The following is a 23,048-nucleotide window of genomic DNA, read 5'->3' on the forward strand; positions in this document are numbered from 1 at the left end:
GGTGTTCCACCAGAAATAGCTCTGCCAACCGGTGTCATTTCTCTATTGAAATAGGAAGCCTACATCTTAATGAATATAGGTTTTCTTATCTTTCTGTTGGGATAAAGGCTAAGAGGGTCATTCTCCAAAGAAACACTGTGCCAAAGTAGAATCTCGTTTGGAACACAGAGGTAGGGATAGTTTGGTGATGCGGAGGAAAGCTTAAATTATAGAATTTATTTAGCCATCTGTTCAATAAATCTTAACTGAGCACCTACTCTTGTGTCAAGTTCTGTATTGGATGCTGCAGGAACTAAAATGAATCAAATGATTCCTGCCTAGTAACTTATAGTCCAGGGGTATGACCTTGCTTGCCTACCCAGGTGGTGTGCCTTTAATGCACAGTAACCGCCCCCCACTTCCATATCACATGGACAGCACCTCATAAAAAGATGCTCTGAGCTACCCATCTCCATTCATGGAGAAAAGCCTAGACCTTCTTGTTTCATTCACATATTGTTCCCAGCTTCCTATTCTGTCTCTACATTAATTGGGACATAATATCCTACTGATCTTTTCAGGCCCAGGTCTAATGTCAGATTCAGCATCTCTATCTTGATACTCAAACATTCTCCCATGGTCATTGTTTAACACTGAAGTCCTGGATCTCTTCACTCATCTCTTCCCTGGTCCCTTCTCTTTCTGACTTATCCTGACCCCTTGAATCTTCTCCTCTCCTTGATCAGCCTGGCTGATACCATCTACACACCCTGGTGCTTTCTCTAGGGGAGGGTTAGTCAACTGCACAGCAAATTCTCAAATCATAAGTTAATTTTCTCCCTGCTGCCCAGCTGAAGTTAGAACTGCAATGAGTAGTTGTGTGCTCAGAGAATATCAATATCAGCCCATTTTAGCCTAGTCCAAGGAAAGTAATCACAGTTAAAGAAGCAAGAGGTTATGTTTGTGTCTACAGCTTCCTGCAATATGTCTTTTTTGATGTTTTCTGAAGAAACACAGAAGCACTTTCTCTGCTTTATCTTTTCCAGGTTACCTATAATGCCACTCTATTCCCTAAGGGTAATAACCTAAAGTATAATTTCCTAAAATATAACTGGCAGACATTCCTCCACCCCTACACCCCTTAGCAACTACTAACACTGTATAGAACTAGCATTCTGTAGAACACAATTAAGAAAAAACTGAGCTAACCCCAGCCATCTTTTCCAGAGACTCTGGATTGTAATTAAGGTTTAGATATTCTTCCAAACAAATCAAGGTAGCACTGTGTGTATACTGCCAAATGTAGATGAACCAACCAGTTATTGATGTCAAGTTGAGTTAAAATTCTCTTCAGGTCTTCATGATTAGAAATTATCTTTTACATGGTTGCCTGAATAGTCTTTCTAAAATGCAAACTGGAGCTTCACCATTTGCCTAGCCAATAAAATCTAAATTGTAGAAAACAGAGTTCAATGCCTATCATGAGTGAATCCTACCTGTTCTTCCAGCCTCATCTCTCTCTGGACTCCTAAGGCCACCTCGGACTCTATTCAAGCTACCTTCTTTCAGCTACTGACTACTCCACATTTTTCTTTGTCTCCAGGACTTTGCAAATGTTGTCTCCTCTGCCTGGGCCTTCCTCTTGCACTGGTAGTACGCTCCCACTCATTCTCCAAGTCTCAGCTCAAATACCCCTACACAAAAGGCCTTCCTCTCCTCCATACACAGAATTAAGAGCTTTCTCTCACCTCATGTTACCATTTGTTTACATTTGCGTCTAGTCATCACTCATTAATTGTGTCCTGGGCACCTACTGTTTTGTCACTTGTTGGTGAGCCTTCTGAGGGCAAATACTCTGTTTCATTAATATTTTTTATCTCCAATGTCTAGTACATAGACAGAACTTAATACATATTTGCTGAAAGAATGGGTGATTAGACAAACGAACAATAAAAGTAGAGGGTGCTACTGCTTGGTTACAGATAAGTAGCTGGTATTGAATAATTCTGGAACGGAGAAAAATAGGCTTCAGTTTGCATGGTCACCAGCTGATATTTCTCACCTACAAGAAAAAAACATTGCACAAATAAAAAGTATTGCTGAATGATGTGATTTTAAAAACATAAATGAAACTATTCACAGGAAGATATTAGGGAGGCACCTAGTGTCTCTTCATGAAGGAATCTGTTTTTCCCCTACTCTACCATCTTCTCTAGCACCCATTGTTTCTCCCTCTTTGACTTCTTCCTATGCTTTTAAGTATGTCCAAACATTCCCTGTTAAATAAGAAAAGCAAACAAAAAATCTTCACTCATCCTTGAAATACTATGCCTATGGTCTGTAATGGAATCACTGCTCTATCAGGGTCATAATGTGCACATAATGTATTTTGATTTCCTTGAAGTATTTGACAATGTATTTCATGAAATTCTTGCAGACAGAATGGAAAAGGCAGTTTAAGAATTATGTGACAGTTGGCTGGGTACGGTGGCTCATGCCTGTAATCCCAGCACTTTGGGAGGCCAAGACAGGCTATCACTTGAGACCAGGAGTTCAAGACCAGCCTGGCCAACATGGTGAAACCCCACCTCTACTAAAAATACAAAAATTAGCCAGGTGTGGTGGTGCATGCCTGTAATCACAGCTACTCAGGAGGCTGAGATAGGAGAATCGCTTGAACCTGGAAGGCGGAGGTTGCAGTGATCCGAGATCACACCACTGCAATCCAGCCTCAGTGACAGAGCAAGACTTTGTCTCAAAGGAAAAAAAAGAGTTATGTGACAGTCATGCTCAAAAGGCATGGGTCATGGGTCAGAGTTAATCTGGAGGCAGGTCTTGGTGACAAGCCAAGCAGCTCTCTTCTGTAGCCTTATCTCTCTGTGAGCTTCCTCTCTGCATTCTGTTCTAGCCATGCTGGCCTCTTTTCAGCTTCTGGTACTTCCTGGGCTCCCTTATGTACCAGGTTTCTTTGCAGAAGGCCATTTCTTCTACTTGGAAATTCCTTCACTTCAGTCCCATCCTTAACTAGCTGATCGTGTTCATTTCTCATCTCACACATCACTTTCTCCTCCTCAATAAGGTCAGAGCCCCCTGTCGTGGTGCTCAGGACCCTGTGTGCTTCTTTTGGCTACAACTTCTCTTATTTGTGGGTTATTTTCCTCTTTCACTAGATTATAATTCCCATGTCTGATTTTTCTCTCTAGTGTATTCCCAGAGCCTATGCAGCCCTTGACTTGGATGACCAAGTGAATGAATAATAAATCTGAAGTCCAAGTTAAGCAAATGCAAAGCCTGGAAGTGTGTGGGAGGCTGCCTGGGGTCCAAAGCTGACAGGAGCAAGCAAACAAGGTAAGGAAGTTCATGTTCAGGCAAAATGAGTTTGCAGTGACTTCCTTGGACCAAGGTCTCATGCAATAGTATTTCATTTAGAAGCCCCAGGTTGGCCCAATCCTTCTTAAACTCACAATTATCTGATAGTTGAGAGGATTGATCAATATGTTGGAATACTGGATTGAGATTCAGAAATAATGCAACATCAGTGATCATTTAAGTACTGAACATCTCTTATTAGTCCCATACTCTAACCTCTAGGGGGAGCTCAAGGATTCCCCCCTCCTCACAAAATGCCCCAAATTGAAGTGGTAGAGTTCTTGGTGGGAAGGACAGGCAAATAGACATGGAGCTGGACTGAGCAAACAGTATTTTATTCATCCCCTGTTTTAGATTTGCTTTTTTCCTTTCCTCTTCCTTCCCTGTTGAGTTTGCCATCATATAGGCTTATTCAAATAAGGGCATAAAAGTCCTACAAAAATGCTCTACTCTGAGTTGCCAGGGTGGGAGATGTCATAGGGATTTGGGGCTAATGCTAGAATTAGGAGTAAAGATTGAGCTTCTGCCTGGTACATTCTTTGTGCCTTTATTCCTTAAGCTGTCATCATGATGGGAGGCAAGAGGTAGAAGATAGTGCTACCACATGGATAAGCCAGGCAATGTGCTAGACTTGGGAATGCCATGATGAGCTAGACATAGTTCCTGCCCACAAACACCTTAACTCTCACCATTTAGTCAGCCAGATTTCTGTGTTTAAGCTAAATAATTACTGGCAAGATGCAAGATAGAAGAGTCCTGGTTAAATAATACAGTAGTAAAAAATAAACACAACGCAACAAAACAAAAAACCAAGGGGCTATAATTTACCATCAACTCAAAATGAAAACGTAGTGTGATGTGGCCACCAAAAAAGTTTGTGTAATTTTAGCCTCCATTAATAGAAATATACTCTGTGGATCAAAGGAGTTAATAGTCCCATTGTAATTAGTGTTTGGTCAGTCCACATCTAGAGTATCGTGTTTCCTTCTGGACACCACATTTTAAGAGGAACATGGAGAAATTAGAGTGTGTCCAGAGAAGGCTGGCCATGATGGGAAGGGGCCTGGAAACTCCATCATCCAGGGATAATCGAAGGACTCAGGAATGCTTAGCCTGGGAAATAAAACACTTAGGTGGGGACACAATAGCTATTTTCAAAGATTTGTCACATAGAAAAGGGCATGGGCCAACTCCATGTATTGTTCCAGAAACAGCACTTTGGGTGAAAGGTGGAAATGTTGAGGAAAGATGTTTAGTTCAGCATGAGGAAAAACTCACTGTAGCATCCAGGCTGTCCAACAGTGAGCCAGATGGTCTCCTCTCTTAGCACTTTGCTTTCTGGTCTCCTTTTCTACCTCTCCTTCTCAGAGTTGGAATTTATGATGCATAGGTTGCCTTTCCTTTCTCTAGTCCTTCTTGATTTCCTTAATGGAATGAAGCCATGGAGTTCACTTCTGTGTGAGAGAAAGGTAATGTTGTCAACTAACAATACTCTGGGCACTTTACAGATATGATATTAAACCCTGAGGCAAAAGGTCATCTCCATTTTACAGATAAAGAAACACAGCTTAGGTAACTTGCTCTGGGCCACATAGTTATTAATTAGGGGAGCTAGGATTTGAACCAAGGAATTCTGCTCTTGTACCTTAGTCTCCTAACCTCTCTGCCATACTTACCTCTCCCCCACCAAAATATAAATTCATAAAAATTCAAAAAACAACAAACAGGTGAATTTGTAGTTTGGGCCAATATGGCCTAATGGAGTAGATGGAATAGGATTTTTTTATTTTTATTTTTTTACCCTCAGCCAATAAGGGGCAGAAATAAATACATAGCTTGTGTGGGTGTGTTGAGGGCAGTAGTGCTCACTGTGTTTTCCTGAACCTGCCACTACTTGCCACCTGAACTCTGCAGTTAAAAGAAAATAGCACTGAGATTTACCCCGTGCTCCAGATGGTCTGCATATGTCAATGGGTTGAGCCTGTCTTCCTCAGTGGCACAGCCAGGATTCCAATTTAAATATCACCTTCTTTTTCTGACACTCTCCCCTCATTCCACTGGAATCTGGATATTCCATTTTAATTGTGTTTTTATTGCTTTACATAAGACAAAGCTTTCATAATGAAGAAAAATATTGAAAAGCCTCTTTCTCTTAAAAACCTCTGTGACTCACCAAATACACACAAACCACAGTGAATAAAGCCATGATTAAAGTCTATGTAGAATAAATCTCTCAATGAATAGAGTTTTGCTTTTTGTTACCACGAGTCATCCAAGCCCTTTGATGTATGTTGGGCCCTCTTGCTCATAGACCTCAGTCCTATCATCACTTTCCCCAGCCATGAATCTTATCCTGTGTGATTGCTCAATGGGGAAGAAGTCTTGTCTGACAGGAGGCCGAGGGAAGGCTTCCTGGAACATGTGTAGAAAAATCAGGAAAATGACCCAAGTGAAAGGTAAGCACAGAAGAAGAAAATTAGCAGCAAACTGATAGCTTTCCCAGCTGGAATCCCTGCCTGTGCTGAATCCAGAGGCTGCTGGAAAAACTGAGCAAGACTGATTTAGGGGGAGTTTCACCCAGATTTTGGTCTTCTGGCTCTTGCTCTGTGTAGAATCATGTTGTAAAATAAAAGTAAAAAACAAAAAACAAAAAACAAAAAAAAAAACTTCAGTCTCTGAAACAACATATTTTCCAGAGATAAACTTATATTTACCACCTAAGGCTGCATATCTGTGGCACCAGATACCTAAATGTAAACCAGAGAGCTTCACTGGGTGATCTGAATATGCGATTTCTGGTATACACAGACAACATTTACTTTGATTTTATTGCTTAGAGCAACTATTAATTCAGAGAACTTGTTGGCCATCTGTTCTGATAAACTTTTGGTGGTTTGAATTCTTTGCAAAATTTTTTTCCAGCTAAGCTTCTCTTGTGACAATCATAAGCCTCATTTTTATTGTGTTCATGATCTTTTGCTCAAAATAGTGATATTTTTATTTAATGGATAAAAGAGAGATTGTGATTACAGCAACAACTGTTATAGGCTGAGAAAGGAGCCAACTTAAGAAAGAAGGAATAGAACTGGTTGTTATTTTTAAAGGACATTCTTCAAATACGACAAACTGTAAATAAACTGTATATTGCCCTTTGAGAGTAAGAGCCTGAGGTGGAAACTCCACATATGGCCATCAGGAGGCCTGGTTTGGGGTTTTCAAATGCTTCAAATGACTCCTGACATGGTTTGACTACGGAATTCATCTACTTAAAGCTGAAAGAAGACAAACTCTGAAACTGATGGGAGCTACTTGTTTCACACATTGAACTGTGACATTTTTCATTTTTACAACCATTGCTGATTAAGTGTTATGTAAACTCTCCTGGGTGCAGTAAAAACAGCCCCTCTGGGAAGCTTTAGGACCGTCCAAGATGTCTGACACTGAGGAGGAGGACTCTCTCTTTTGCTATCAAGAAGAAGAAGAAACTGAGGATAAGAGTAGAGAGAATGCTTGCTCAGATTTATTTCAAGAGGGAAAACCTCCACCTCAGGCCTCCAGTGCTGTGCTTTGCTTGCCACCAAGTCTTTTTTCTACAAATAGCACCAAGGCTGGTGCTGTGTAGCAGGTGCCTTGCTCTTTCTGCCTCTTGTCAAATATACCTTCAAGGTCTGACATACACCCTCTCCTTCCTACCCATGTCTCCACCTCCAGCTTCCTTCTGGGATAGGTTCCTACCTTCTTGAGACTTGGTTGTCATCCGCACCACATTTTCCCCAGTATGATGTTAGTCAGACGGGCCTCTTTCTGACTTCTCCTTACCAAAGGCAGAGGGTGGAATCCCACTAGTGGAGCTCAAGCCAGGAGCGCTCTGTCCAAGGCCAGTTGGCCTGAGAACCAAAGAAATGAGCCTTGTCAGAGTTCCTAAGCAAGAACAGGTCGAGACTATTGGGGAGCCACGTGTGGTGTAGGACCTCGCTGTTCAAAGCGCAGTCCCTGGAGCAGCACTATGTACGTCATCTAGGGGTTTGTTAGACATGCAGGATCTTAGTCCCCCATCCATCACCTACTGAATCAGACCTGATTCACGTGAACCTGAAAGTTTGAGAAACACTTCCATAGAGATCCCAGGGCAGGATTACGGTTAGGGGTGCAGGGCCAGCTGAGAGTTTGGAATTTGGTAGGTTTGAGACAGGAGTGGGAGCAGGTCATCGATAAGCAGGTGGAGGCCAAGGTGTGTGTGGGGGTGGGCCGGGTGATTGCTGCCTACACCAGAGGGTGTTGGGGCTGCCTCTATGTGCTGTGGGTATGTGGTCTATGGGTATATCCAGACTGAAAGTTGAAAGTAACACCCAATCCTCTATTCAGTCTCCATCTGGGATGTAAGAGCCTGGAGGACAGGGGCCCCATCTTACTCCTGTGTCTACTCTGGGCCTAGCATGGCACCTTACCCATCACAGATGTGCTGTCAGTGTCTGCTGAACTGAATAAGGTCCCCTTGGCCTAACCTGTCAATCACACAGGTTGGGGTGATTGTAGTGGAGTCACCATTGATTCTGTACTTTCCTCAGGAGTCTCCTGGTGACATAATGACATTTTGATATTTTCTTCAGGAAAAAAGCACCCTGCTGGATTAGATAGGGTCCAGCATCACAACCCTTGAGAGTCCAAGCAATGCCCCAAAAGACCCAGGCCTCTGCCTGGGTGTCAACTCGTCAATGTGCCATTTCTGCAAAAAGGAAAATGGACCTGCTGTTTCTTGCTGTTATTGTCTGAAAAGTCAGTGCCCAGATGCCAAGCCCAGAGCCTTGCTGTGCACTCGGGAAACCGTTATTGCCAGCCTCTGCAGACCCTCAGGAATGAGCTCTGCTTGCAACAGCCTTCTCCTGGCAAGAGTTAACACTAAGGTGCAGCTGAAGGAATGTGAAGACTGGAGAGCCAGTTTGGGGGATTGCTATTGCAATCAGAAGACAGCCCAAGTCAGAGTTCCAAAGCCCTTTGAAGGGATGCCAGCTCAGACACATGTTTCCAATTATCATATGCAATCTCGAGACAGTGTGCAAGTTGCACTTTCATTATGTCAAAGTGAAAGGAATGGTGGGGGCGAGATAAAGGGGAGAGGCCGCTAAGCTGGAGGCTGCACTTAGCTGTGGCACCAAACGTTAGCCAAGGCGCCGGGCTGGCCTCTCCAACCCAAGTCTCCCCCTGGAGCCAGGGGTGCATGGTACGTACTCTGAGAGCCTTTTTTTTCTTCTTGTTTTGGGGATCGAGGAAACCCAGCTGATATGGCTGGAGGAGGCCCCATCTTCAGGAAGATATTTGACCAGCTCTTTGGTGTTTGGTCTTAACAGAGACAAGATTTTGTGAAAACCATATGGGGACTTTAACTGTGTCTTCCTACAGGATTTCACAGGGTTATTCTCTGAATTCTTCTAAGGTCTGTAATTGCAGGAGAAACTAACTCCTCTGCCAGTTGTAGCTCAGAATGAAGTGAGAGAACAGACAGAGACTCTCAATTCTATTAGCGGTCTCTCTCCCATTGGGGCTGGGCAGCCTCTTGGTTGGATTTTACCTTGTTCATAATTCTGGAGTAAGTCTCAGCACAGGACAATAATTTCACTCAACTTATTTTCCGCACGTAGTTCAAAATCGTTTCCTCCAGGAAGTCTTTCCTGGCTTACTCTTTCCATTGGATTACTTCTTACTACTGTAGCCATTGTTTAGAATGTTTATTGGATGGATTTGTATGTTGCACTGTGCTTTTAAGTCAGTGGGTGGGTGCATGTGAGTGTAGAATGTGCACTTCTTGGCTGCTTCTTAGCTTCCAGGGGTTATTCACACATATACACACACACATAAGCACACACACTATCCTTGTGTGTGTATGTTTGTATATTGTGTCTATTTCTGTGCATATATGTATATGTAGCTGTGTGTACTGTATATTTACATATGTTTCATATACAATGATTTATTATGTACCAAACATTGGACCAAATGCCTTACAATACAATGAAGTAGGTTCTCTTATTTTCACCTACATTTTACATGTAAGAAAACTGCAGTGCAGAGAGAGAAGTAATTTGTCCAGTGTCACTCAGCCAAGCTATGGGTGAGGCCAGGCTTTATCCCTGATGGTCTGATCTTGCTCTTGATACCAGCCTCTGAAAATTACCCAGATGTGTCACATGCCTCAGGGAGGACCCTGTTTTCAACTGAGACCATTAACGCATTTATGGCTAACACAAGGTAGGTGCGGGGATAGGAGGAGATAGGCTGTGGATGGTGGGGATGGAGAAAAAGATGGAAACTAAGTTCTGTCTTCCCTTCCTTAGGACATTGATTGCCTGCCACATGCAAGATTGGGTCCAGGTGCTGAAGAAACACAGATGTGCTGCATCCTTGACTTTAAGGAGCATCCCTGGGTTGGAGGGATTCTCTGCAGGCTGCTGTGGTGGAGGGAAGATTTGCCCAACTTACTCTTGGCGCTGGACCCCCTGAGCCATCTTCACACACCCAGGTGAACTTTGGGAAGGTAACAGCTTTTCAGTTGCAAACCCAAGTGAATTAGAGCAAAACAGATCCCACGTGCTTGACACATGGAAACTTTCAGAGCCAATGGTTTATAAACTTACCAAGAGCTGGGGGAGTAAACACATCCCAGGGAACTGTGGAGCACTTCTCTGGCATTGATACACATAAGCAGAAAGCACAGCCTTCCCCGACACTTGCCTTAAGATAGTCTTTTGTCTTAGAACCCAGAGGCTTACCTGAGCTAAACCACATAAAGTGCTTAGTGCGATGCCTTGAACATACCAAGCTCTTAATAAACGCTAAGGTCACTATTAGCATTGCTTGTCATGGAATAAACCTAGGATACATCTATAAAACTGTCCATAATCTTCCTTGCCTTGTGGAAAGTTGTTCCACTATTCCAACATCCTTTTAGGGGTTCTCAGCTAATCTACCTTTCAAAACGAAAATTTATTATACACTTCTTAAGTGCTAGGTAGTTTTGTATATTTATGTGTATTATCTCATTAAATGATCTCTCAGCCCTCTGAGAAAAGCACTATTATCATCCATATTTCACAGATGAAGAAATCGTCAGAGTTTCCATATATCATTGTCAGAGATGTTAAGCAACTTGCTTAAGGTTACACAGCCTTAGCAGAAGTACTTGTTTGACTCCAAAGCCTACCATTATGCTGGAATCACTAGAATCCAGGTGGCCTATCTGAACCCGGATTCAGGCATCTGAAGCTGAATAGCTGCCATTCTTGCTTTTAACCTCCTGGTAAAAGCAGGCTATGCCTGATCTATCTATCTATCTATCTATCTATCTATCTATCTATCTATCTATCTATCAATCATCTATCTATCTGTCTATCTATCTATCTATCATGGCCTGGCTATGCCACATCTATATTCCATGATGTCCACTGACCAGAGGGTTTCCCTTATCCAATCCATACATGTGCCAATAAACAAACATTTAGTGAGCACCAACATAGTTGCTTCTCTCCTATAATCAACACAGGAATGGTTAAGTTTGGAATAAATTACTTTTCCTAACACTTGCATAGGACTGGACTGTTTGCTTTCAAATACTTGGTTTTGCTTCATGCTCACAACTCTGGGATATAGGAATGATTATTTTCATTTCACAGCTGCAAGAACCAAGCTCAAAGAGGAACTGCTGCTTGCCAAAGTTTCACAGATAGAAATGGGGGAGCTGGGGCCAGAACCCAGCTCTGCTGACACCAAGCCCAGAGTTTGTACCATGACACTGGGCTGCTCCCTCGGAGCTGGGTTTGGCTGATGACCTCAACTCTGAGCACCCGTTGCCTCCCACTGTTCCGTTCAGGCCTGTGCGAGAAAGACTCCCAGGCCCCTGGGTTCTCCATAGCCCACACTTCCACTCGGCTCCGCTTCTCTTGCCCAGCTGTCTCTCCTCCAAGGAGCGGACAGGGCGGACACGAGACCCGGGTGCCCTTTTGTCCTCTATTCCAGCTCTGGGCGGATCCTCCTCCCATGATGTGGATGATGCTGAGGAGAAAGTGGTAAGGCTTTTAGGAGGAACACTCCTGATTCACGGAAATGAAAATAGCTGCTGGGTTGTTGCTGAAACTCTGTCCCCATGGTGGGCTTTCTATTAGCAGGGAAGGGGTCAGGCTGGCGCTCTGGTTGCTGGAGGGCGTCAGAGGGACAACTGAGTGTACCCCAGAGTCAGGCACCCTGCGGTCTCCCAGGCCGGGGCCTGAGCCTTGCTAGGAGGGCGGACAGCCAGGGCCGGCGCTAGTTTTCTTGGGCGTGGTGGAGGACGCCTTCCACCAAACGAAGTTGCCGAGAGGAGTCAGATCTGCTCTCACCTTTTGGGCTTTTGGGGAACCCAGGCAGAAAAATCTCAGTGAGGCACAGGAAGGAAAATTTTGCAAAATGTGCTGCTGCCGCTCCTCAGCAGAGTATAGTGGGCGGTTTGAAGCTGTTTTCTTGGTGTTCAAGTGGCTGGGGCCCTGGCGACCCCGGTCAGCCTTTCTGGGGCAGCCCGGGTGGGTCTGAAAGCCAGGGCTCCCCTCCGTGTGTGGGAGCAGAGCCCAAGCTGCGGAAACCACCGGGCGCGGGGTTGTTTTTGGAAGGCTCCGACGCCGATCAGCCAAACTGATATCCCTTATATTGTGTGAAAACATTGGCTCCCACGCTGGGACTCCAGTGTTTCCGCCTAGAGCAGATTTTGCCTTTGGGAAGGTGGTGGTGTTCCTGGGATGAGGGGCCCTCCTCTTACCGGACACGCAGGAGAGCAGCCCACATGGAAGTGAGGGCCTCAGCCTTCGTGCTCCCTCAGACGGTCCTCCCTCTCGGCTGCCCAGGGGAGCCAAAGACATTTTTTAGATGTCCCAGTGTCTTGCAGTGCCGCGGGCAGCACTCCAGGACCCTCTTTGTTGGTGTAGCTGCTCACAAGCCAACCTTCCTGATGGGGAGCTTCCTGAAGGCCTCCCTCTCCACTCCTCTCCCCACATCCCAGGCCCAAAGTCCAGTCCTAAGAGAAAAAAAGCCACCCAGAAACTTTGTAGGGGCACCTAGGACGGCTGAGACCACTGGCATTGGACCCCAGTAAAAGTCACAGACACAGATCACTGGGAGGGCTCCTCCCTGAGGCCTTTATCTCACTTAGAATCTCAGCACAGAATGTTCTAGCTGGTGTTTCTTGAGCATAAACCTTTATTCCAATTGCAGTGGCTCTGATAGAAAAAACAGGGCACATTTCATCATACTTCTACCCTAATCAAATGGCTCTCATGCCAAAGCTCCCTACGTTTCTAATTTGCCCTATTTGGATGGCGTTGGAGGTGGGGCCGGACAGCGAGAATTACAGAGGGAATGAATAAGACCATTTGCTCTTTTCTCGGATGGACAATTTGGGCCTGTTCTCTTGAAAACCAGTGTAGGCATTTCATCCTCGGGGGGAGACAGGATGGATAGGAGGGGAAATTTTCTGTCTTAATATAAGTGCTCTGTCTGGGGGAATATTGTGGCTTCAAGGAAAATACAAAATGAAAGTTGCAGGGGAAGGGGGTCGTGTGAGGCTGGGTGGAGCCCTGCTGCAGGCTGAACCCTGGAGTCCCTCTGTCACCTTCACTCCTAAGATGCTCTGGATGGAGTCAGTGTTTATTAGCACATCCAAAAAGCCCCACAAGAACCACCCAGGTTGCTAACTTTCCTGGAGGCTGGAGAGTGCTGGTAAAGATGAGAGATCACACCTCCCTCCTCCTCCTGCTCTGTCCTCCCCTCCCCTTCTTCACATCCACCTCTGGCCTTCTCTTTGTCATCCTTGTTTCATTTCCCCTGTTTGGGAGAAGCAGAAAGCCGTGGTTTCCTGCCGGCCCACCTGTCCTCCACATCTCCAGGTTTATTTGGTTCTTACTCCATTTACTTAGTCTTTCTGCCCCACCCTCTTCTCTGCAGGTCCCACGGCCCCAGTCACCTTTGGTCACTTATGGAAATCATCCAATTAAGAATAAAAATATTTTCAGAAGTTCTCTCCCGTCTCTGGCTTCCCTGGCTGTGGGCTGATGGTGGGGCCCCTGGAAGTTGCTACTGTGGCTGTTAGTGGGTTGCAAGAGTGTCGGAGGCACTAATGTTTTCTTGGGGTAATGAAGTCTTTCTGCAGGAGGCTGCTGAGGGATAAAACGAGTACTAAGGCCAGCTGAACATGAAACCAGATCTACTTTGACAGGCCTCGTGAGATTACTCTGTTACAACTCTTCCAGACAGCACATCTCCCTCTACAAATGAGCAGCTCACAGATCTTTGGTACAAGCCTCTTCCTGTCTATCGAGTGCCCCCAGGACTGAGACTGTGCCTCTGAGGCCAGGGCAGCCCCATGCCCAGTGGTGATCTGCCTCCTGATGAGGCTCCACTAACTTCTCCAAGGGAGGAGACCAGGGCCCATGCTTCCAGGCCGTGGGCAGGTAATCCAATGATTAGGTAGCTTTGGCTCTGGAATGTAGAACAAAGTTGCAATCCAGCAGGCTTCCTTTGCTAATCATGCCTGGCTTAGGCTAATATCTGAAACCAGTTAGCCTTTCCTGAAGTTGCAGCACTGGCTGGGGGTGGGGTAAGGGTTACAGGTGGGCCTTAGAAGGAGCCAGGGGGTGCTTCAGACAATTCCCCCTGCATCTTCCTCAGACTTGCAGATGATTTTACTCAAAAAAAATAACCAGCATCAGCACACAGGATGCTTCCAAAAATTTAATAAATAATGATTCTTTAAAACTGTATAAACTATAAATTACCATGCAGTCCTTATAATTTAAAATAATTTACAGGTTGAGGTAGGGAGGGGCCCAGGAGAGTGTAGAAGGGGCAGGGGGAGGGAGCGTGTCGGCAGGTCAGGCTCTTCTCACAGCCTTCCTGCTGAGCACACACACACAGGCCGTATCTATCCGGATAAACCGCCAGGCAGCCTGCTTGCCATCCATGGTCAGCGCCTTGACAAAGGTGTGAGTCGTGGTACAATATGAGTTCCAGTGCTTTGAGTCAATGCCCCGGCACCCGCTGTCAACGGGATTTGGGTCCCGGCACTTGGTCTCAAAAAAGTACTGTTTGAATACACTGTTGTTAATGTTCACCTCTCCCAACACCATCACCTCCTTGCCCTTGATGTCTGTGGCGGTGGTCTTATCCCCAACCCACACGCTGACACTGTCACACACCGAGAATTCGCCCCTGTGGAAGATGGGATGGGATGATGACCGCTTGCTCCTGTGAGTCCTGTTGAAGGGGGCAGCACCACCGACCTCGAAGTCCAGATCCTGAGTGTCTGCAGCTTCACGGGGAGGCTGGGTGCTAAACAGCACACGGGGTGAACGGAGTCGCCGCTTTTTAAACAGCCTGGGGTCCACAGTAATGTTGCGGGTCTGCCCCGCCACGCGTGCAGCTATCGCCGCTGCCGGGGCGCTGCGGGCTCTGCGAAGGGCAGTGTCAAGGGAATGCTGAAGTTTAGTCCAGTGGGCTTGGGGGATGGTGTGTCCTGCAGGGACATTGCTCTCTGAGTGTGGTTCCGCCTGTATGCCGATCAGAAAAGCTGTGATCAGAGTGTAGAACAACATGGACATTACGCTATGCACCTGGAATGAAAAAGAAATGAGGGTGACTTCATGGAGTACTAAATGCAGTCAAAAGGCAGTTTCTGGGTCCCTCAGAGTTGACCTCCCAAGGGGATCACGAAGAGGTTTCATTCAAACCGGGGCACTTCTGAGAGGGAAAGGGTGTGCTAGCAATGGTTATACCGGGACAACAGGCGTAACCCGGGGCTGACTCAGGCAGTATGGATGTGTGGTCACCCCATCCGAGCTTCTCCAGGAAGTGACAGAGCCCCTGAAATTTTGCCCAGTAGTTCGATATGAGCTTGGAGACATCACTTACAGAGTCCTTTGAGTTCTCTGAAGCTTAAGGCGGCTGAGGGAGGTGGTAAGTGTCCATGTGTGTACCAGGGAGGCCGGTGGGGAGAGTTTAACATCTCTCCCTGGCACTTGTGCCTTGATGTGATGGTGCCGTCCTGCTCAACAGTTTTGAATCCTCTGGGAAGGCACGGGGAAGATCTGCTGGGGACATGTCTTGAAGCCTCAGAACTGGGTACCCCCTTTCAGACAGTGCACTGGGTCAGCTCTAAGATCTGGTGACTCGGAGCCCTTGTTATGAATTCACAAAGCGTCATGTTTGGCAAAAACCTTGTGGCTCTGGGACCATCTTAGTCCAGGCACCTCTTCAGACGCTACCCCACATATATAAATGTGGACCACATAATAGTTCCTCTTTGTGTGATGTTTTTAAAATGTGTTCACTTCTATCTTCTCATGAGTCTGTGAGTTCAATTAGGATTTATCATATTTATTTCACATATAAGGAAACTGATTCACAGAAAATGAACTAACACTAAAGCACTGAAGTCACAAATGAAAACTGAACCAGAAATAGAATCCAAAGTTGACCCCTTACTAAGCTAGTGTCCTTCCATCCACCCTTCCTTCTTTTCTCCCTCCCTTTCTCTTTCACTCTTAAGCATGTCTTTTCTTTTTATTGTTTGTTCTTATGTGACTATAGATCAAATGGTATGGCTCTAACTGTCCCCAAGAGGACTCCATACTGCACTGCAGTTACCCCACAAATAATCCCCCAACTTGGTCAAGTAATTGTGGAATTAGTTCTGCTCCTGGAGGGCCTCTCACTGGCCTCCGCGGAGCTCCTATGCATACTTGTAGATGTGTAGCAAACGTCAGCTCCTCTGTAAAGCTTCCATAGATCTTCCTGGTAGGATCAGAAATATCTCTTGTAAGAGTGCTCTACAAACTTCCAATTCTATCCTTTCTCCCATCTCTCCTTCCCACTCTTATGGGTCATTCTGCTCCGTTTCCACACAGATACGACCTAGTCCTCGAAGCCTTCTCAGATCACTCCAATCAAAAATGATCTTTTGCCATTCTGCACTTCAGAATAGCGTAATTGTATGTGCATATGTGTGTGTTCATGTGAGTGTGAGTGTGTGTGTTCTCTCCTACTAAATCAGTGTAATGACAAGAACTCTGCATTGGGTCTGGGGGTTAGAAAATCGTGTTTGGATTCCTACTCCACTACTTGTTAGCAGAAGAAACCCATTTAATTTCCCAGAGCCTTAGCGTTCCCATTGATCGGAGGTGGGCAAAAAACACTATCTCCCAGAGTAGTTGTTAGGATGAAGTAGGTTCTCACAAAATTTGTGTAAATCATGAGTTATTTCTGTCTCCTTGTGGTCAAGGACTTTGTCTTTTGTGCTTTCTACTGCTGGTTTTACCTCTCTCAGACCTCCTTCAAAGCCATTTTTATTGTCTCACCCTGACTGTGAGATACTCGAGGGTGGAGCCGTGTCTCATCCACTTGTGTATCTGGGCACTCCATCCCTTGTATTCCACAGCAGTTTGTGCATAACCCTATCACCTCTCCTAGGGTTGTGGATAATCATTAACTTGTCTGTCTCCCTGAGAGGGCTTTGCAAGCTGCACAATTTGCATTTCAATATTTCCAGGGCCAGTTGCCGTGTCTGGCATGTAGTAGGTACTCAAAAAATTTAAGGAGAATGAATGAAAGAAAGAATGAATGAGAGTGGCAAGAGAAGCTCACCATCTGCCTTCTTTCCATCACAGTGTGTGGTTTCTTTTGGCCTTTGTGCATATGGCTACACACTGCTTTTCTAATCTGTTTTAAGGCAACACATTCTTCTCCTCCATACTGTGCTTTTATTCAGCTGGAAATAGACAGCTCTTTGGTGAGATACCAAGAAGGAAATCACCAAATTCTTTTCTCTTTGGTTTCTTTGAAGAATGTTTCTGTTTGCTCCAGTTCTCCAGCTGACCATGCAAAGGAGGCAATGGCATATCTGGGGTTTTGACCATTACCAGATCTGTTGGCTAATGGTCTTGCAGATAAATGTCCGGTCAACTCTTAGCGGACTGAATATTCAGTTGGCAGCAAATCTAAACCTTTTACTTTTGCTCCTTTTCATGTTTCACTTCTTTGTTCTTCTCGGTACATAATATCTCTTATCAGATACATTAAAGGAGAAGAAAGAAAACTGAAATTCATTCCCTTATATCCAAATTAGTAACACTTGCTAGAATTTCAAGAGGAAAATGAAATTAACTAAATAAAAGGGTTTCGATGGACATAAGGGACATACCTCTCCCTATTCCCCATTACCAGAGGTTCCCACTTCATTCTTGGTCTCTCCTTTGGTGGGCTCCTCCTCTTCTAAGGAGCCCATCGAAATTTCTGTGCAATTGACTCCCATACCTGGATCTCGAATCAACTAGTCTTTTGAAGCTAGTTCTGCCCTCCTGCTTCCTGAGGGCAATTCTCCATAGATACTGGCATTTTAAATGCAAGACATCCAAAACAAAAATCTTCATACTCATAATCATAATTAGGATCATCTTCTCCCCATCTTCCTTCTCTGCATACAATAGCAACAGCCCCATTTTGGACCATTTGATGATAGTTTCACAGCTACCATCTCTCTTGATCCTCTCTCCTCATCTCCCTAAACACGCTTCTTCACAGTTTCCTTTTTCTGTTACTGGAACCATCATTCATTCATCCACTAGCTCCATACCTCTGCTTATCCCTCTGCTTTTTCCTCCCTGACCTCCATCCAGCCCTTTTGGTTCTGGTTTGGTAGCATTATCTTGAAACTGTATTTTATCTTCCATTCTCATCTCTGGGCCCCTAGTTCAGGTCATGGGAACAGTCTCCCACCTGATATCCTGGACCCTCATCTCTCTTCTTCCAATTCCTCCTATCCCTGGCCACCCCATTTAGCTTCTTAAAGCCTGCTCTGATCATATCACCCTGCTCAAAGGAGCTGGTGCCAAGTCCCTTGTCTGTAAGCCAGTAGGGACTGCTCTGCCTGGCAATGGGATCCTGCCTCCTTCTACTCCCCTCACATAGTTTGCATTCCGAGTGCACAAAACTCCTGGGGGCAGTTCCTGCTTGAGCTTCCCCACCACTGCCCTTTTTCAGACTCTTCCCTTCCAGGTATGCTCCCCTACCCTCTCAGGGCCTTTTCTGCTCTCCACCTCTGCTGGTGGAATCCTTCCTGTTGTCCTTCAACAACTTCAATGCTGCTTCCCCTGGGGAGCTTTTTCTAATTCTGAGACAAACTACCTTCTCTCATCTTTTTTTTTTTTTTTTTTTTTTTTTTTGAGATGGAGTCTCGCTCTGTCACCCAGGCTGAAGTGCAGTGGCTTGATCTCGGCTCACTGCAGCCTTTGCCTCCTGGGTTCAAACAAGTCTCCTGCCTCAGCCTCCTGAGTAGCTGGGACTACAGGCACACGCCGCCACGCCTGGCTAATTTTTCTATTTTTTGCAGAGGCGGGGTTTCACCATGTTGGCCAGGATGGTCTTGATCTCTGATCTCGTGATCCGCCCCCTCGGCCTCCCAAAGTGTTGGGATTATAGGCGTAAGCCACCACGCCCTGCCCCTTCTCTATCTCTTAAAGCCTTCCCTTTATATTCTCTTAGGGCTGTTGTATTCTTTTATCCTCCCTTCTAGAGGACAAACTCCCTGTAGGCAGCAAAGTGTCCTACTCATCTTTGTTGCCCCCAGGTGACCTAGAACTCCTAGGTAACTCCTCCTCTAAGAAACTGTGAGTATGTAGACAAGTCTCCTGCCTCCAGTGTTCCTTAATTCTCCATCTGCATGATGATGTTAAAGGTATCTTCCAACCATTATATTCTTTCATTTCAGGTAATTATGAAGTTTTCTACCCTGCCTTGCATCTGCTGGTTTGACTGAACTGACTTCACAAAGTTCCTACACTCTAACACTACTTTTCCACTCACAGTCAAGATACCAAATGGTATCACATTTAATCACAATGGAGATTTGTATCACAGGCAGAATGTTTCATTAAGACTTGAAAATGTCTCAAATATATCTCTCATTTAGATTTTAGGTTTAAAGTTTTTTTAAAAAAATATTTAATTTACTCATGAGAGTGTGTTCCTATAAACTTTTAAGTTTAAAAAAAAACTCTCTTAAAAGTGATCAGTAGATAAAAGAAAAATTGAGTGCATTTTCTATTCTAGTGATATAATGCACCATTTAGAAAAGAACATTCTTTTTATTTTTGGTTGATGTGAACCAGGGGAGAAGTTTTATTTATTTATTTTTTAAAAACACCCTTTGAAGCCTTTCTCCTGAACAGATGACAGCTTTCTGTCTGGCTTTATTAAGCAGAGCTCTGCAAGCTGAATGATCAGCTGAGGAGGATGCAGTTAGGGGCTCACATGAACGAACATGTTCTATTTAATATGAGAATGCTCTTTAATTGTCCTACTCCTACCTAGAATGGAAGATCCATGACTAAGAGTGGGGCAGCCCATTGGGATGCCTTTACAACCAGCCACTGATGGGCTGCCCTGCCCTCTTGCCCTCTTCTGAACCAGCGATACATTCTGTGGATTTCCAATGGTTCACACACTCCAATAATAGGATAAATTTCTCGCACGAGGTGAATGATCTTCAAAGATTCTGGCCTCACCTGAATAGGTGATGGAGCTGCTGAACAGAGCTAAGCAACTGGCCCAAATATTTGTGGTTAGGAGGGCTGATGGCACTGGGAGGCTTGGCAACCATGCCTGGGGAGATGTGTTGTAGAAGGGAGTGAGAGAATTCCTGTCTTAGAGACAGCCATGCCAAGAGCCACGAGTGATTCTTGGGCTAGAGATGGGATACGTGAACCAGGGTCACTAACAGTTGGTGAGAGAGGAAATTCTTGTGGCCAAGGAAATCCAGCCTCCTCCTCCTCCATCTCATTCGCCACATTCTGAGAGTGGGCCAAGGGTCATTTCTTGTTTTACGCTTGGCCTTCACTCTAAATGTTAACTGGCTGCTGTCTTCAGTTGTAAAGGCTCGAATACTCTTGGGGGTTGGAGCTGGTGTGGAGTGTGGGAGGAATTCTGTGGCTCCTCATTTCTCCAGCAAGGTACTTCAGAGGTGTCCTGGGGTGGGCTGAACAGAGAGAGGCATCGACAGAGTAAAATCCAGAGCTTCTGTTAGGACAGGATTTATTGGGAGGAGGCATGGCCTAGAAGGTACATCAGAGATTCAAGTCCAGAGGCTCTCAAACTTCAGGGCATCAGAATCACCTGGAGAGTTTGTTACACTATAGACTGCTGGGCCCCATCTCCAGAATGCTCGATTCTGTAGGTCTGGTAGGAGGACACTAAGAATCTACATTTCTAGTAAGTTTCCAGATGATGCTGATGCTGTTGGTCTGGGGACCATATTTTGAGAGCCACGAGTCTAGCCTAATTCTTTAACTTTGTAGAAGACAAAAATGAGCCTTGGAGAGGCTAAGTGACTTGGGCTTTTGCAGCCAGTGAGTGGCAGGGCCAGTCCGTGAACACCTGACTTGAGCTCAGCTTTGCTATCTTTTAGAGGAGAGAGGCCTGAAGCCGTATGCACACTGTAACTGATAGGTGGTGGGGTGAGTATACTCATCCCCCAACATCGAAATGAAAATTCCATTCAACAGATTGTAAGTTTTACCTTCCTGATGCCATAAATCCAGATATTAGGGAATATTTAGATATTGAATTGTTTTCATATCTGCTTTGTTAGGTTTCTGGGCACCGTGTAGACTTGATCTAAAAGCACTTGAAATGCCCATGATAGAAATATGCAACCAGAAAACACTAGCAGGTACCAGCGCCTGTGGGGTCACTGGGCTCTCGGAGGGCAGCTGTGCTGGATACATTAATGGGAACCAAATCTACTGATCTGAATTCTAAAAGACATACCTTGACATGAATGAGCTGAGATAATAGTAATTATTATTTATTGGGTATAATTTTCTAATTAACCATTACACAAACCTGGGAGGTTGGCCATATTATTCCTATTTTAACAATGAGAAACCAGAGATGTAGTAAGATTAAGTAATTGCATCACAGGTACACAGCAAACAGAAGTGGAACTCGGAGCCACACCTCCTGTGTGCAGATTTGGAACTCTTCCCTACCCCTCTACTCCACTGGTGAAGGGCACAAAGAGTGGCTGTGAACCTTCCATTTTGCAAGTTCCCTGCTCAGTCGGACCAGAGAGTTGTGTGGAGGGTCTGACTGACGCTGTCTATTCGAGGTCCTGTGTTCGGCAACTTTAGACCCTTGATGCAGCTCAGACTCCTGATATGTCCCTGGGGCCCATGGGGCCAACCTGCATGCACAAAAGATTTCCTTTCCTGAGTGGGCTAGGGGAGCTGCATTTGCTGCACCACTGAAAGCTTCTCTAGGCCCCTGCTGCTCAGCAGTTGGTTCTGACTTGCCCTCTCAGGTCCTGTCACTTGGGACTCCTGCTTCTGGCAGCTGCAGAGGGAGGACCTTGGCAAGGCCAAGGTCCCTTAGGCACTTACCTCAGTGTGGCCAGGATAGAAAGCTGCTCCCTTGGTAAAACTGTTATTGGGTCCGGACGCTGAGCTGAGCTTGGGTCCAGCATGCCATCCAGCCCCTTGGACTGCACGACCACTGGCCAAAACTCTGTGGAGGGGGAGAGCTGGCATTAGACTGTACCTCACCACATTCCCTGTGCCCTACACAGTGGGGAGGCATGTGCCAATAGGACAAATTCCATTTCCTTGAGTTCTGGGATTTTACCAGCATCAAGGCCCAGGAAGGAGCTAGAATTTGGCTACCAAAATTTACCGGAGCTTGGCCTCTCATGGTCCTGTGGTGGCACCTGCCTCTCACTCTTGCGCCATACCTTTTGGTTTCAGCCTGGACACAGTCCATGGCTGATCTTGCACCTAGTGCAGGTGTTTCTAGACACATGCCAAAGTCTTGCCCCAGCAGATCCCTAATCTGGCATCAAAATAGAAATTGTTCAGTACATTACACATGCAGACATAACAGATCCAACTCTGAACCAGCCTAAAATACCTTATACAGACGCAAAATCCCTGACAATTCAGAGCAAGTTGGTGCTTTGATAAAAATGCAGATGAGTAATGGTGACAAATAAGACAGACTGACCATTTGAGAGAGAATGTGGAGCTCTCACAGAATCAGACAGGAATCTCAGAGTACCACACTGAAAGGCAGATTTTAGGATTGGAAGCTATGGAGCTGATACAATTTTAAAAAATCAATTTTAGGCTGTAGTTTCTAGAAACAATGGAAGTTTTCTATTCTCCTCTCACTTCTATAATGTAATCTATGTAGGCACATCATTCATTCACAATATTTTCTGGGCACCGACTATGTGCCAGGCACTGTTTTTGGTGCTGAGCAGCAGTAAACAAGACAAACAAGGCCTCTGCTCTCATGGAGCTTACAGTGTTGTGTAAATAAGCAAGATATCTCCAGATTCTTTATATGCCATGAAGGCAATTACAGGGTCTGATGATAGAGAGCAACTGCAGGATGTATCGAGGGGCCACTGTAGACAGGACGCTCAGCGAGGAGCTCTGAGGAGATGGCCTTCAAGTTGAGATCTGGAGGATGAGAAGGAATGAGGGAGAGAACATTCTAGGCAGCAAGAACAAGTGCAAAGGCCCTGAGCTAGAAACAAGACAAAGGTTCTGAGCATGAAGTAACGAGACCTAGAAAATGAGCTGGAGAGCCAGGAAGAGCCAGGTCTACAGAGACACAGCAAGGAGCTATGGTTTTAT

At 45.3% G+C, this 23,048-nt stretch overlaps 1 protein-coding gene and 1 long non-coding RNA gene across 4 annotated transcripts in view; one reads left to right on the top strand and one right to left on the bottom strand.

The window, feature by feature from the left end:
* The first annotated feature begins 11,201 nt into the window (after nucleotides 1-11,201).
* Nucleotides 11,202-23,048, top strand: part of NGF-AS1 (NGF antisense RNA 1) — an 85,039-nt gene continuing 73,192 nt past the window's right edge. The window contains exon 1 of the long non-coding RNA NR_157569.1: nucleotides 11,202-11,408. This is a non-coding gene — a long non-coding RNA (NGF antisense RNA 1). The remainder of the gene's footprint in view (nucleotides 11,409-23,048) is intronic.
* Nucleotides 14,085-23,048, bottom strand: part of NGF (nerve growth factor) — a 52,333-nt gene continuing 43,369 nt past the window's right edge. For 2 of the 3 annotated variants that reach the window (NM_002506.3, XM_011541518.3), the window contains exons 2-3: nucleotides 21,795-21,918; nucleotides 14,085-14,975 (exon numbers count right to left, since the gene is read on the bottom strand). In NM_002506.3, the coding sequence (NP_002497.2) occupies nucleotides 14,238-14,963 (726 nt within the window). In that variant the 5' untranslated portion in view covers nucleotides 14,964-14,975; nucleotides 21,795-21,918 and the 3' untranslated portion in view covers nucleotides 14,085-14,237. The remainder of the gene's footprint in view (nucleotides 14,976-21,794; nucleotides 21,919-23,048) is intronic. The other variant, NM_001437545.1, reaches the window with a different exon arrangement.

The sequence above is a fragment of the Homo sapiens genome, chromosome 1, assembly GCF_000001405.40.
Source record: "Homo sapiens chromosome 1, GRCh38.p14 Primary Assembly".
Classification (NCBI taxonomy): Eukaryota; Metazoa; Chordata; class Mammalia; order Primates; family Hominidae; genus Homo; species Homo sapiens.